The sequence below is a fragment of the Homo sapiens genome, chromosome 10 (assembly GCF_000001405.40).
Source record: "Homo sapiens chromosome 10, GRCh38.p14 Primary Assembly".
NCBI lineage: Eukaryota > Metazoa > Chordata > Mammalia > Primates > Hominidae > Homo > Homo sapiens.
Genome location: NC_000010.11, coordinates 102434837 through 102448560, shown reverse-complemented (window position 1 = coordinate 102448560; position 13724 = coordinate 102434837). Strand labels below are relative to the sequence as shown.

Genomic DNA, 13724 nt, shown 5'->3' with positions numbered 1-13724 from the left:
TCAAACCTCAGCCCTTGGAAAAGGTGTTTCTCCTGATCAGTGGTTTGCTTTTGTCTTTTAAGCGCTACGAATCTCATTACTGATCATATTTTTCTTTTGGTCCTGGTTTCCAAGGAGCTCAGAGCCAAATTTGCTTTGTGTCTTTTTTTTTTTTTTTTTTTGAAACAGAGTCTCACTCTGTTGTCCAGGCTGCAGTGTAGTGGCATGATCTCAGCTCACTGCAGCTGCAACCTCCACCTCCTGGTTCAAGCGCTTCTCCTGCCTCAGCCTTCCAAGTAGCTGGGATTATAGGTGTGTGCCACTACGCCCAGCTAATTTTTGTATTTTTAGTAGAGATGGGGTTTTCCCATGATGGCCAGGCTGGTGTCAAACTCCTGGCCTCAAGTGATCTGCCCGCCTTGGCCTCATTAAGTGCTGGGATCACAGGCATGGCCACCGTGCCCGGCCTGCTTAGTGTCTTTTATATAAAACCTGCATCCTGAACTCTGTTATCCCTAGTTTCACCTTATTTTTCCTTTGTAAAAAATTATAAAACACAAGAAGGTGAGGTGGCATAGTGTGATGGGTCTGCTGTGTGACCTTGGGCAAATTAATGTCCATGAAACAGTTTCCCCATCCCAAATGGGGATGATGATACAAAAACCTATCTCATGAGGTTATTGAGAAGATGCCATGACATCTGTGTTTCTACAGTGCACAGAAAGCATTTACCACGGTGCCTGGCATGTGTTAAGTGCTAAAATGTTAGTGTTTGTTTGTTTGTTTGTTCGTTTTGAGATGGAGTCTCAGTCTGTCACCCAGGCTGGAGTGCAGTGGCACAATCTTGGCTCACTGCAACCTCTGCCTCCTGGGTTCCAGCGATTCTCCTGCCTCAGCCTCCCAAGCAGGTGGGACTATAGGCATGCGCCACCACACCCGGCTAATTTTTTTTTTCTTTTTTTGAGGTGGAGTCTGGCTCTGTCTCCCAGGCTGGAGTGCAGTGGCATGATCTTGACTCACTGCAACCTCTGCCTCCTGGGATTCTCTGCCTCAGCCTCCCAAGTAGCTGGGATTACAGGAGCACGCCACCATGCCTGGCAAATTTTTTTGTATTTTTAGTATGGACAGGGTTTCACCATCTTGGCCAGGCTGGTCTTGAACTCCTGACCCCGTGATCCACCCACCTCAGCCTCCCAAAGTGCTGGGATTACAGGCATGAGCCACCACGCCCAGCCTGTATTTTTTTTTTTTTTAGTAGAGATGGGGTTTCACCATATTGGTCAGGCTGGTCTTGAACTCCTGACCGCGTGATCTGCCTGCCTCGGCCTCCTAGAGTGCTGGGATTACAGGCGTGAGCCACTGCACCTGGCCAGTGTTTGATTTAAACATAGTTTGCAATACAGAAATATGTGATATAGGAAGTTAAATTCTTTTCTGATTTCCCTCACCCCTTAATGATCATTGAGGTCCAATCTACTATTTTTCTATGCACAAAAAAAAATATATATATATATATGTGTGTATATATATATGTGTGTGTGTGTATATATATATATGTATGTATGTATGTATTTTAGACGGAGTTTCGCTCTTGTCACCCAGGCTGCTGGAGTGCAATGGTGCCATCTCAGCTCACTGCAACCTCTGCCTCCTGGGTCCAAGCAATTCTTCTCCCAAATAGCTGGGATTAGAGGCACACGCCACCATGCCCGGCTAATTTTTTTGTATTTTTAGTGGAGACAGTGTTTCACCATGTTGGTCAAGCTGGTCTTGAACTGCTGACCTCAAGTGATCCACCCGCCTCAGCCTCCCAAAGTGCTGGGATTACAGGCGTGAGCCACCCCACCCAGGCTTTATTTTTATTTTTATTTCTTATTTTATTTTATTTTATTTTATTTTTTTGAGACGGAGTCTCGCTCCATCACCCAGGCTTGAGTGCAGTGGGGCAATCTCAGTTCATTGCAACCTCCACCTCCCGGGTTCAAGCAATTCTCCTGCCGCAGCCTCCAAAGTAGCTGAGATTATGGGTGTGGGCCACCATGCCCAGCTAATTTTTGTATTTTTAGTAGAGACAGTGTTTCACCATGTTGGCCAAGCTGGTCTCAAAGTGCTGACCTCAGGTAATCCATCCACCTCAAACTCCCAAAGTGGTGAGATTACAGGTGTGAGCCATCACATCCGGTCTATTTTTATTTTTGATTTAGAAAATAAGTGTCAGAACTTACTTTAGAATAAGATGGCTTCTCTGAGCAGGTGACATTTAAACTGAGATCTAAAGAATGCAAAGTTAACCATGCAGAGAAGGGTGAGGGGGAAGCCAGGCAGAGAGTATGGTGAGTGCAGAAGCCCTAAGGAGTGAAAGTTATCTTCATTCACTTAACAGGCATTGAGAGCCCAAATATGCCAGTCAGAATTCCAGGTACTGGGGCTACAGCAGAAAACCAAACAAGTCTCTGCCCTCATGGATCTTACATTAGAGGTGTAACAGAGGAGGAGAGACTGACAAGCAAATAGGTGAATATGTGATATAGCGTCAAATAGTGATAATTGATGGGTGGTGTTTTAAATGGGATTGAGGAGGCTTCTCCCAAGAGGTGACTTGAGTATAGTCATAATAAAGACCTTTGCAAGTCATTTGAGTACCTGGGGAAGAAAAGCAGGTATGACCACCCTGTGGATGAGTGTCCTTGTCCTGTGAGCAAGCACATGTGATAAGAGATTAAGCAGAACCTGTGGTGCAATGAAGCTGTATTGAGAATTTTGGATTTTATTCTTTTTTTTTTTTTTGAGACGGAGTCTCACTCTGTCGCCCAGGCTGGGCTGGAGTGCAGTGGTGTGATCTCTGCTCACTGCAATCTCCGCCTCTTTGATTCAAGTGATTCTCCTGCCTCAGCCTCCTGAGTAGCTATAGCTGGGATTACAGGCACGCACCACTATGGCCGGCTAATTTTTTGTATTTTTAGTAGAGATGGGGTTTCACCATGTTGGTCAGGCTGGTCTCGAACTCCTGACCTTGTGATCCACCCACCTCGGCCTCCCAAAGTGCTGGGATTACAGGAGCAAGCCACAGTGCCCGGCTGGATTTTATTATTAGTGGGTGGAGGGTTATGAGCATAGGAGTAATGTTATCAGATTTAAAAATTATTATTATTCTGGCTGCTATGTGGAAAAGAGACTATAGAGGGGTCATCATGGAAATGGGGGGCAGTTAGGCTTTGAAGTACAGTCATGCACCCCATAATGACGGTTCAGTTGACGACGGAGCGCATATATGATGGTGGTCCCTTAAGATTATAATGCTATATTCTTACTGTAACTTTTCTGTTTAGATACACAAACACTTACCATTGTGTTCAATTGTCTTCAGTATTCAGTACAGCCTCAAACTGTACAGGTTTGTAGCCTAGGAGCAATAGGCTCTACCATATGGCCTAGGTGTGTAGTAGGCTTTACCATCTAGATTTGTGTAAGTACACTCTAGAATGTTCAGACAATGACAAAATGGCCTAATGATGCACTTCTCAGAATGTATCCCCATCATTAAGCAATACATGACTGTAATACAGGAAATAGAAGACATGACTTCGTTTTATTTGGAAGTAGTAAGGGTGATGAGAAAATAAATGTCCTTGAATATGCATCTTTGTTCACATATACAAGTATTAAATTGTCGAATGTAAAGTCTTTGAGATGGAAACTGAATCACTGAACAATGACAGCTAGTAGCAATAAGAATGACCAAAATCCAGGTCTTTAGTTCTTTTTTTGTTTTGTTTTGTTTTGTTTTGTGGGGGGACAGAGTCTCACTCTGTCGCCCGGGCTGGAGTGCAATGGCGCAATCTCAGCAGCTCACTGCAACCTCCGCCTCGCAGGTTCAAGCGATTCTCCTGCCTCAGCCTCCTGAGTAGCTGGGATTACAGGCGCCCACCACCACTAATTTTTGGATTTTTAGTAGAGACTGGGTTTCACCATGTTGGCCAGTCTGGTCTCGAACTCCTGACCTCGTGATTGGCCCTCCTCGGCCTCCCAAAGTGCTAGGATTACAGGTGTGAGCCACCGCACCCGGCCGCTTCAGGTCTTTAGTTCTAAATTCCATTCCCAACTAAAAGGAATGAGGGTCCTTGGGAAAATGGCTGATTCCAGGTCTGGGGCAGTGAAGGTACATGAGGAGCCTAGAACAACTTATTCCAGAAAATAAAGGACTGCTCAAAAATGTCAAAAGTACAGCTGGGCGCGGTGGCTCACGCCTGTAATCCCAGCACTTTGGGAGGCGGAGGCGGGCGGATCACGAGGTCAGGAGATCAAGACCATCCTGGCTAACACGGTGAAACCCCGTCTCTACTAAAAATACAAAAAATTAGCCGGGCTTGGTGGCGGGCGCCTGTAGTCCCAGCTACTCGGTAGGCTGAGGCAGGAAAATGGCGTGAACCTGGGAGGTGGAGCTTGCAGTGAGCCGAGATGGCGCCACTGCACTCCAGCCTGGGCGACAGAGTGAGACTCCATCTCAAAAAAAAAAAGTCAAAAGTACAAAGAAGCCAGCTTCAAGGGAATTCCACTGGCCAAATTAGGGACAATTTAAGCATCAAAACAAATAATGACAGTAATTCATTATAACTCATTGAAAAAAATAAGAATCCATAAGTCCATACTAATAATCACTAAATAAATAAATATGAAGGAAAAACTAATCCTTACAGTAGAAGGAATAATAAAATTAGAAAATTGCCATTCCCAGTGCGGTGGCTCACGCCTGTAATCCCAGCACTTTGGGAGGCCGAGGCGGGCAGATCGATCACCTGAGGTCGGGAGTTGGAGACCAGCCTGACCAACATGGAGAAACCCCGTCTCTATTAACAGTACAAAATTAGCCAGGCATGGTGGCACATGCCTGTAATCCCAGCTACTCGGGAGGCTGAGGCAGAAGAATTGCTTGAACCCAGGAGGCGGAGATTGTGGTGAGCTGAGATCGCAGCCATTGCACTCCAGCCTGGGCAACAAGAGTGAAACTCCATCTCGGGGAAAAAAAATAAAGAAAAGAAAAGAAAAAAAGGCTGGGCGCCATGGCTCACGCCTGTAATCCCAGCACTTTGGGAGGCCGAGGTGGGCAGTTCACCTGAGGTCAGAAGTTCAAGACAGCCTGGTCAACATGGTGAAACCCCGTCTCTACTAAATATACAAAAATTAGGCGGGCGTGGTGGCGGGCGCCTGTAATCCCAGCTACTCGGGAGGCTGAGGCAGGAGCATTGCTGGAACCCGGGAGGCAGAGGTTGCAGTGAGCTGCTGAGATCGTGCCATTGCGCTCCAGCCTGGGCAACAAGAGCGAAACTTCTTCTCAAAAAAAAAAAAAGAAAGGAAAGAAAAGAAAATTGCCATTCCCATCCCAGCCATCATAGTAATAATTGATTCAGGTGATACTAAATTGATTCAGGTCACTCATGGATAATAAAACTAATGAGTACAAATTTGAATAAAAACAGGATATTTATTTAGTTTAGTTTCAAAATATGTTCCAATAAGATATTTATTAATTACAAAGCGAAAAAGAGTAAGCTAGTCGTATAATAGGGAAAACTGGTGTATATCACCTTAACTAAGTTATCAAAGCTGTAGGGTCCCCCAGTGTCTGTCCCCTATTTCTGTGTCTTGACCCAAAGATCACAGAGTCCTTTTGATCCCTCTGTGACCCAACATGTTTTACCCTGAAGGCTTGAACCCACACTGGGGTCTTGAACATTTCCTGGCACTGATAAAATTATCTAGGTTGTTACCAAAACAGAAAGAAACAAGCCCCAGCCCTGAGCCAAATGCCTTAAAGGCTCACATAAACTCTATCCCCTGACCACTTTGCTTGGATATACCTAGGGGGATCACCGCTTTTCTGTTACTGTCTGTCGTGAGGATTGCTGTAGCACTCTGTACGTAAGGTTCCCCTAATAAATGCTTTGGACTGGCTGACCATGGCAGCTCACATCTGTGATCCTAGCACTTTGGGAGGCTGAGGAAGGAGGATGGCATGAGCTCAGTAGTTTGAGACCAGCCTGGGCAACATAGCAAGACCTCTCTCTACTAAAAAAAAAAAAAAAAAAAGAAATTAGCTGGGTGTGGGGGTGTCTGCCTGTAGTCCCAGCTACTTGGGAGACTGAGGTGGGAGGATCGCTTGAGCCCAAGAGATTGAGGCTGCAGTAAGCTATGATTGTGTGACTGCACTCCAGTCTGGGCAACAGAGCAAGCGAGACCCTGTCTAAATGAATAAATAAATGCTTTGGACTGATCACCCTGTTGTTTATTTAGTGCTAAGTGCTACTTCCCTTGGAATCCCAACTGGCCCCACCTGGAAAAGGTCTGGGGCACTCCCTTGTGGAAACTCCCCTGCTAAGGCTTTTGGGGTGATTCCAACTGTGGGTTCAGCAGGATGAAACAAGTTGACATTATCATTAGAGGGGACAAATCAACATCATAAGCTTCCTGATATGTTAAAAAACACAACATCAGTTCAGCAGTAATGCAGTCATGAGGAAACCTCAGATAAACCTAAACGGAGAGATGATTCCACTTGTCTGTATTGCTCAAAAATGGCAATGTCATAAAAGACTATGACACCAGCCCAGCGCGGTGGCTCAAACCTGTAATTTCATCACTTTAGGAGGCCTAGGTGGGTGTATCGCTTGAACCCCAGAGTTCAAGGACAGCCTGGGACACATAGAAAAACCTCATCTCTACAAAAAATACAAAAATTAGCCGGGCATGGTGATGTGCACCTGTGGTCCCAACTACTCGTGAGGCTGAGGTGGAAGGATCGCTTGAGCCTGGCAGGTACAGGCAGCAGTGAGCTGTGATCATGCCACTGCACTCCAGCCTGAGTGACAAAGTGAGACCCTGTCTCAAAAAAAGACTATGGGAACTTGAGAAATGTCTCAGATTCAAAGGAGGCTAAAAAGGCATGAAAACTAAATGCAATGCATAATCCTGGATTGGATCCTGAACCAAAATAAAACCTGTTACGAAGGACATTACTGGGACAAGTAGCAAGATTTGAATAAGAACTATAGATTATGCTCAGCCATGGGGATAAGATCATGCCCAGCCCTTTCTTTTCTTTCTTTCTTTCTTTTTTTTTTTTTTTGAGATGGAGTCTTGCTCTGTCGCCCAGGCTGGAGTGCAGTGGCACAATCTTGGCTCACTGAAAGCTCTGCCTCCTGGGTTCACGCCATTCTCCTGCCTCAGCCTCCAGAGTAGCTGGGACTACAGGCCGCCATCACGCCCGGCTCATTTTTTGTATTTTTAGTAGAGACGGGGTTTTACTGTGTTAGCCAGGATGGTCTCGATCTCCTGACCTCGTGATCTGCCCACCTCGGCCTCCCAAAGTGCTGGGATTACAGGCGTGAGCCACTGTGCCCAGCCTTGTTTTTAATTTTTTATAGAGACAGGGTCTAGGAGATGTTGCCAGGTGGTCTTAAAGGATCCTCCCACTTCAGCCTCCTAAAGCACTGGCATAACAGGTATGAGTCATTGTACTGGGACCCAACCAATGAGCTTTTTTTTTTAAATCCCCTTGAGACAGGGTCTCACTCTGTTGCCCAGGGCTGGAGTGCAGTGGCAGAATCATTGCTCACTGCAGCCTCGACCTTTTGGGCTCAATCAATCCTCCCTCCTCAGCTTCCCTAGTAACTGGGACTATAGGCGTGTGCCACTACACCCAGCTAAGTTTTTATATTTTTAGTAGAGACAGGGTTTCACCACGTTGCCCAGGTTGGTCTCAAAGGAACTCCTGGACTCAAGTGATCCACTTGCTTTGATCTCCCAAAGTGTTGGGATTACAGGCGTGAGCCACTGCACGAGTGAGCTTTTTTTTTTTTTTTTTTTTTTGAGACAGAGTCTCTCTCTGTCACCCAGGCTGGAGTGCACTGGCGCCATCTCAGCTCACTGCAACCTCCACCTCCTGGGTTCAAGCAATTCTCCTGCCTCAGCCTTCTGAGTAGCTGGGACTACAGGCGCCCGCCACCACGCCCGGCTAATTTTTGTGTTTTTAGTAGAGACAGGGTTTCACCGTGTTGGCCAGGATGGTCTTGATCTCCTGACCTCGTGACCCACCCGCCTCAGCCTCCCAAAGTGCTGGGATTACAGGCATGAGCCACCACGCCCGGCCGAGCTTATCTTTTAAACCTCTTTTTTACATAGTGCTAACATTAGACAGTATTTACTTTTTCAAAATAATTTATTTATTTTTATTTATTTGTTTTGAGACAGATCTTGCTCTGTCGCCCAGGCTCGAGTGCACTGGTGCAATTACTGCTCCCTGCAGCCTCACACTCTTGGGCTCAAGTGATCCTTCTGCCTCAGGCTCCTGAATAGCTGGGAATACAAGCCCTCGCCAATGCACCTGGCTTTTTTTTTTTTTTTTTTTGAGACAGAGTCTCGCTCTGTCGCCCAGGCTGGAGTGCTGTGGCGTGATCTCGGCTCACTGCAAGCCCCGCCTCCCAGGTTCAAGCCATTCTCTTGCCTCAGCCTCCCGAGTATCTGGGACTACAGGCGCCCGCCACCGTGCCCGGATAATTTTTTGTATTTTTAGTAGAGACGGGGTTTCACCATGTTAGCCAGGATGGTCTTGATCTCCTGACCTCGTGATCCACCCGCTTCGGCCTCCCAAAGTGCAGGGATTACAGGCATGAGCCACTGCGCCCGGCCGCACCTGGCTTTGATTTTACTTTTTTTTTTAATTTTTTATTTTTTGAGACGGAGTCTTGCTCTGTCCCCCAGGCTGGAGTGCAGTGGCGCGATCTCGGCTCACTGCAAGCTCCGCCTCCCGGGTTCACGCCATTCTCCTGCCTTAGCCTCAGAGTAGCTGGGACTACAGGCGCCCGCCACCATGCCTGGCTAATTTTTTGTATTTTTTTAGTAGAGATGGGGTTTCACCATGTTAGCCAGGGTGGTCTCAATCTCCTGACCTCGTGATCCTCCCACCTCGGCCTCCCAAAGTGCTGGGATTACAGGTGTGAGCCACTGCGCCCAGCCTACTTTTATTTTTATTTTATTTTATTTTTTGAGACGTAGTCTCATTCTGTTGCCCAGGCTGGAGTGCAGTGGCATGATCGTGGCTCACTGCAACTCTGCCTCCCAGGTACAAGTGATTCTCTTGCCTCAGCCTCCCAGGTAGCTGGGATTACAGGCACCTGCCACTATGCCTGGCTAATTTTTGTATTTGTATTTTTAGTAGAGATGGGGTTTCGCCATGTGGGCTTGGCTGGTCTCGAACTCCTGACTTCAGGTGATCCACCCACCTGGGCCTCCCAAATTGCTGAGATTAGAGGAGTGAGCCACCACACCCAGCCTGATTTTACTTTTTAATGTTGGAGAATTGTGTGCATGCTGGTGAGCATTCTCAAATCCTTTTTTGAAACAATGCAGGCTTCAAATAAATGATGAGTCCCACTCCAGCATAAGGTGTGTTGTGTATTCACTTCCCTCTCTGTCCTCTTGGGTCCAGAAGTCTTGGGTCTTTTTTTTTTTTTTTTTTTGAGACGGAGTCTGGCTCTGTTGCCCAGGCTGGAGTGCAGTGGCGCGATCTCGGCTCACCGCAAACTCTGCCTCCCGGGTTCAGGCCATTCTCCTGCATCAGCCTCCTAAGTAGCTGGGACTACAGGCGCCCGCCACCGCACCCGGCTAATTTTTTGTATTTTTAGTAGAGACGGGGTTTCACCGTGTTAGGCAGGATGGTCTCGATCTCCTGACCTCGTGATCCTCTGATCCTCCCGCCTCGGCCTCCCAAAGTACTGGGATTACAGGCGTGAGCCACTGTGCCCGGCCTAGAAGTCTTGGGTCTTGAAGTCTCTTGGGTCTTGAAGTCTCTCAATGTCCCCCACCTCTGAGGATCTGCATTCTCTTAGCCATTCCTCCCTGGGGCATTCTCTGGAAGTGGCCCTGGACTGCACACAGTTTACCCCTAGCCCCAGCCCCAGTGAGGGAGGAGGGCCCCTGACTGCAGGCATTTTGAAGGAGGTGCTACCACTCACTGAGTCCAGCATCCCATTTCACTCCAGGCCCTGTTGATGTGAGCCCTAGAGGAAGCACAGATGCTTCCTTGTTTGATCTTTTTTTTTTTCAAATTAACTTAGAAGCTCAGAACTCACAAAACATCTGGGCTGCCAGGGACCTTGCCATTCATCTGGTTCGATCTCTTCAATTTACATTATGCTGGGAAACCAGAGCCATCAAGAAGGAGTGCTTCACCGGAGCTCAAACTGTAGGCAGGAATCCAGGACTCTTAGCTCCCAGCGGGGCCTGGGCCTCCAAGCCCTGACCTGATGGCCTCCTCCTCCTGGCCCTGCCCCAGCCTTACCTGTCGCCCAATCCATTTTGTCAGGACCCCCTCAGTCAACAAGCCCTGACTGACCAATTTCAAGCCCTCCTCCACCCCGCAATGACCTTACCTTTGTCTGGCTCACATTCTACTCAAGGGAATAAAATAGGAATCATAACATTACATACTTATGAGAACTTGCTCTATGCCAGGCACCACGTTAAAACCCTGAACAGAAACTATCAACACATTTAATTTAATCTTCACAAAACCTTGATGTGGATATAATTACATCCCATGGATGCAATTATCATTCCCATTTGCAGATGAGAAAACTGAGGGCCATTGATGTTAACAACTTACCCAAGGCTATACCCCAAGAATGTCCCTGGGAAATTTGATTGTAATTTTCTTATCTTTTTTTTTTTCTTTTCTTTTCTTTTTTTTTTTTTTTTTTTCTTTTTGAGAGAGAGACAGGGTCTTGCTCTGTGGCCCAGGCTGGAGTGCAGTGGTATGATCTTGGCTCACTGCCACCTCTGCCTCTCAGGCTCAAGCCATCCTCCCATCTCAGCCTCCTGAGTAACTGAGACTATAGGCACGCATCACCATGCCTGGCTAACTGATCGCAGTCTTAACCTGTAGGTCAAACTGTCTCTTCATACAGGAGACAAACTCAACAAAAATGCAAGGAATATTTATTGAACAGCTACTATATGCTGGACGCTGGACTAGACCCTACAGGGCTCATGAAGAGGGGTGTGGAGGATCTGTAAGAGATCATATGCACTGTTGGGGAGTTGAGAGAGGCTTCTTGGAAAAGGCATCTGGCTGGGCACAGTGGCTCACGCCTGTAATCCCAGCACTTTGGTAGGCCAAGGCAGGCGGATCACCTGAGGTCGAGAGTTCAAGAGCAGCCTGGCCAACCTGGTGAAACCCCATCTCTACTAAAAATAAAAAATCAGCCAGGCGTGGTGGTGTGTGCCTATAATCCCAGCTACTTGGGAGGCTGAGACAGGAGAATCACTTGAACCCGGGAAGCAGAGGTTGCAGTGAGCCGAGATTGCACCACCACACTCCAGCCTGGGCAACAGAACAAGACTCCGTCTCCAAAAAAAAAAAAAAAAAAAAAAAAATTAGCCAGGTGTGTTGGCACACGCCTGTAGTCCCAGCTACTCGGGGAGGCTGAGGCAGGAGAATCACTTAAACCTGGGAGGTGGAGGTTGCAGTGAGCTGATATTGCGCCACTGCACTCCAGCCTGGGCCACAGAATGAGACTCCATCCCAAAAAAAATAAATAAAAAGGAAAAAAGAAGAGGCATCTGAGAGAGGCTTTGAAGAATGTCCAGGATTCCAACAGACAGTGACAGGCAAGAGGTGTCCCCAGGAGCACTGAGGAAGGACCAGCATGAGAAGTGTGGAGCCGGAGCAGCAGGGGTTCACTAGTGGCAGGTTATGAGCAGGATGCGATGGAAGATCAGGCGTGAAAGCTAAGTGGAGGCCGTACTATAGAAGACTTTCTGGCAGGGTAAAGAGATTTGGGAGAGCCCCTGACGTCTTTGAGCATAAGAGTAGCCCGAGTCAAAGTTATTTAAAGGTTTGGCCAGTGGGCAAGATGTGGGCCTGCAGAAGCACCTGGCTGGGAAGTTGGGAGCCCAAACCATCAGCTGCCCCACGGCCTTGGCATTGATGTTGTAGCACTGCCGGGCACCAGAACTGAGTCCACAGGGCATTGCTAGAGCTCACAGCCTATGGAATTCAGTTCTCAGTGCCAGGTGGCCAAAGTTCTTTCAGCCTGGACGCTGCTCTTGCATGCTTTCTTCTGTGAATCGTCTCCCGTTCCCAGGATGAGTAAGTTGAGGCCCAGGATGGGTCACATAAGGAACTTGTGATACCAAGAGAACTCCTATTCCAGGGAGGGTCTGAGCTTGGAGCTGAAAATGGGGGCCCACAGCTAAGGAAATGGACAGGAGTTCCATAAATTCCAACAGGAATTGGAGTAGGTTAAGAGGGGAGGGGGCTCAGGGCCATGGCAGGGATCCATCTGTCGCTTCCTGCCCAGATGTGTTCCTGGTGGGGCCTGATGTGGGGCTGGAGGGGTGAGGGGCTGGGGAAAGAGCCAGAACACGCACACTGAGAAGGGCATCTCTATGCAAACCAAGGGGCTTTCTGAGCTAAAGGGAGTCCCCAAGATATGGATCCCCAAGATAGGAGCCCAGCCCAGGAGTCCTAGCTCCCCAGAAATCTCCCCAAAACCCTGAATAAAGATTTGAAGTACCTGGGATAGTGGAGTGGAGGAGAAAGAGTTCCCTGAAGCACACTTTCATTTTCTGGAGAGTTCAGCCGAGGGCTGGGTGCTCCCCTCACTCACATGGCAAAGCTGCAGCCTATCCCAGAGAGGGAAAGCCAAGCCTGCGCCTCAGGGGCACCCCATCCCGACCCCTGCTTGAATCCAGAGAGAGGGACAGCCACTTACCCACGAAACCTCCTCTCTATGGCTCCTGGGGCTGGATCTGCAACGATGTTCTCAGCCGGTGCTCCTTAAATAAGGCCCCCACCCCCGCCCCAGCCGCCTCCCGCCCCCGCCCCATGCTGGCTCTTCTGAGAAAGGAGGAAGGTGTGGGAGGGCCAGGAACCCTGCCCAGAGAGCCCTTTCTAACCTCAAGCCAGAGCGGGACCCCGCCCCCGCCATTCTTTGAAGCCTCCCCTTCCTCACCTTGGTCTCTAACTGAGTTCTTCCCACCCCTTGAGACCAGCCCGCTGGGCTCTCTCTCTACTCTGCCTGAAAAATCTGCCCTTTATGCCAAATTCAAGTCCAGTTTCTCATTTTGAAGCAGGATGATGGGGAATGGAGGTGCTAGGGGAAGCCTCAGCGTAGGTTTCTAGCTTTTCCCACCAGCTAAGGCGATCCAGGCACCCAAACACCAGCTGCAAAATTCACTGGAAGGAATGGCGGTGAAAAGGCATCCCTCTGCCTCCTTTAGCTCTGTGCCGCTTCAAGCAGTACCAAAGGGCAGTGGGGAGTCTGTTCCCATTTTGGGGAGAGAGAGACTGAGACCTGAGGGGAAAGAAAATCAGGGGCTGAAGTTCCAGCCAGCTTCAGAATCCCTCAGGGCAGGGATCCCGGGAGCCCCTACCTTACAGTATGTGTGTGTCCTTGTGTCTGTGGGGTTCCCTCTCCTCAGCCCACCTTCTGTCCTCGACCCCCCAGAACTTGACTCCTGCTGCACAGAGCTGGGACTCCCCAGAGTTTGAGTTGGGAAAGGAGGGACTCCCCCTAAGAAGTCTTTTCCATCCTCCTCCCTTGAAAGCTCAGGAAGTTCTTTCTGATACCAAGTCACATGCAGCTGCCATCCAGCAAACAGGGGATAGGGGAGAGGGGAAGGCACACAGTCAGAAATGGCTTGCAGGGGTCTTGGGCCAGAACTCAGGGCAGCTCTACTGAGGAAAC

At 48.5% G+C, this 13724-nt stretch overlaps 1 non-coding gene across 1 annotated transcript; it reads right to left on the bottom strand.

Moving 5' to 3' along the window:
* Nucleotides 1–11976: 11976 nt before the first annotated feature.
* On the bottom strand, nucleotides 11977–12049 carry MIR146B (microRNA 146b). Its single transcript, NR_030169.1, has one exon. It is a non-coding gene; the product is annotated as a microRNA 146b (primary transcript).
* Between the last annotated feature and the right edge of the window lie 1675 nt (nucleotides 12050–13724).